This window comes from Homo sapiens, chromosome 6 (assembly GCF_000001405.40).
Source record: "Homo sapiens chromosome 6, GRCh38.p14 Primary Assembly".
NCBI lineage: Eukaryota > Metazoa > Chordata > Mammalia > Primates > Hominidae > Homo > Homo sapiens.
The window spans coordinates 104,887,167-104,888,345 of NC_000006.12; the positions used below are offsets into that span (position 1 = coordinate 104,887,167).

Below are 1,179 nucleotides of genomic sequence, written 5' to 3' on the forward strand. Positions count from 1 at the left end.
ATAATCATATATATAAAGCTGTCAGGGTGCATTGACAGATAGTTAAATAGTTGGATAAAATAGATAGGATCAGAAAATAAAACTTGGAAAAAAGACTTAAAAGTTGTGTCCACACTTAAAATTCTTCTTTGCATTCTAAGCATCTTTTGGCCAAATGAAAATAACTCAAGTGGCAGATGCAGGCCCAGTTCACTATTTCAATGTCTTCACATAGGATCTTCCTGAAGTGCTTTACAACTTAAAATAGTGCTCTTGTTCAATGTGTGGCACAGCAGAACTCAGAGGCCAGGAACATGAACCAGCCTGGAAAACAAGATGATTGGAGTGTAGGCAGATCAGAAAAGCCAACACCACTGCAGTGTTTCAGCAAATTCAGGACCATGGACAGTAATGCACGTGCCCTCACCTCTCTTATCACTCCACTGTGCATAATTTGCTCATACAGTCCGTTACGGTGTATCAGGAGTGTCTGTGAAACCCATCCAATAGACCCATTAAAATTTTTTTCTTTTGTTTTTCTTTTTTTTTTTTCTGAGACGGCGTCTCGCTCTGTTGCCAAGCCAGAGTGCAGTGGCGCAATCTCAGCTCACTGCAACCTGTCTCTCCCGGGTTCAAGTGATTCTCCTGCCTCAGCCTCCCGAGTAGCTGGGGCTACAGGCACATGTCACCACACCCAGCTAATTTTTGTATTTTTAGTAGAGACGGGGTTTCACCATGTTGGCAAGGATGATCTCGATCTCTGGACCTGGTGATCCGCCGGCCTTGGCCTCCCAAAGTGCTAGAATTACAGGCATGCACCACCATGCCAGCCTGAAAATTGTTTTAAAGAAACATAGAAATCGACCTTTACATTTGTTTATCTGAGTTGCTTCCTCAGAAAGGACCCCCAGACCTCTCAGAAAGTACTGGAGAACTGAAACCAACCAGATCACAGCAACTAAACAATGAGATGCCAGACTGCTCATTTTGTTTCCTTACCCGTCCCTAGTTCCTGTTTTCTAACACATTATTACATTTCTTCCCTGCTACATAAACCCCTAATTTTAGTTGGTCAGGGAGATGGATTTGAGACTGATCTCCCATATCCCTGGCTGCAGCACCCGATTAAAGCCTTCTTCCCTGGCAATACTTATTGTCTCAGTCATTGGTTCTCTGTGTGATGAGCAGCAGGACCCAGAC

The 1,179-nt window shown here is 43.7% G+C and overlaps 1 annotated feature.

Annotated features, from left to right (window-relative positions):
* Positions 295–495: a silencer, noted in NCBI's record as "peak5989 fragment used in MPRA reporter construct". NCBI's record gives its function as "represses an SCP1 promoter by STARR-seq MPRAs in K562 erythroleukemia cells {active_cell/tissue: K562}" and the evidence as "EXISTENCE:reporter gene assay evidence [ECO:0000049][PMID:32103011]".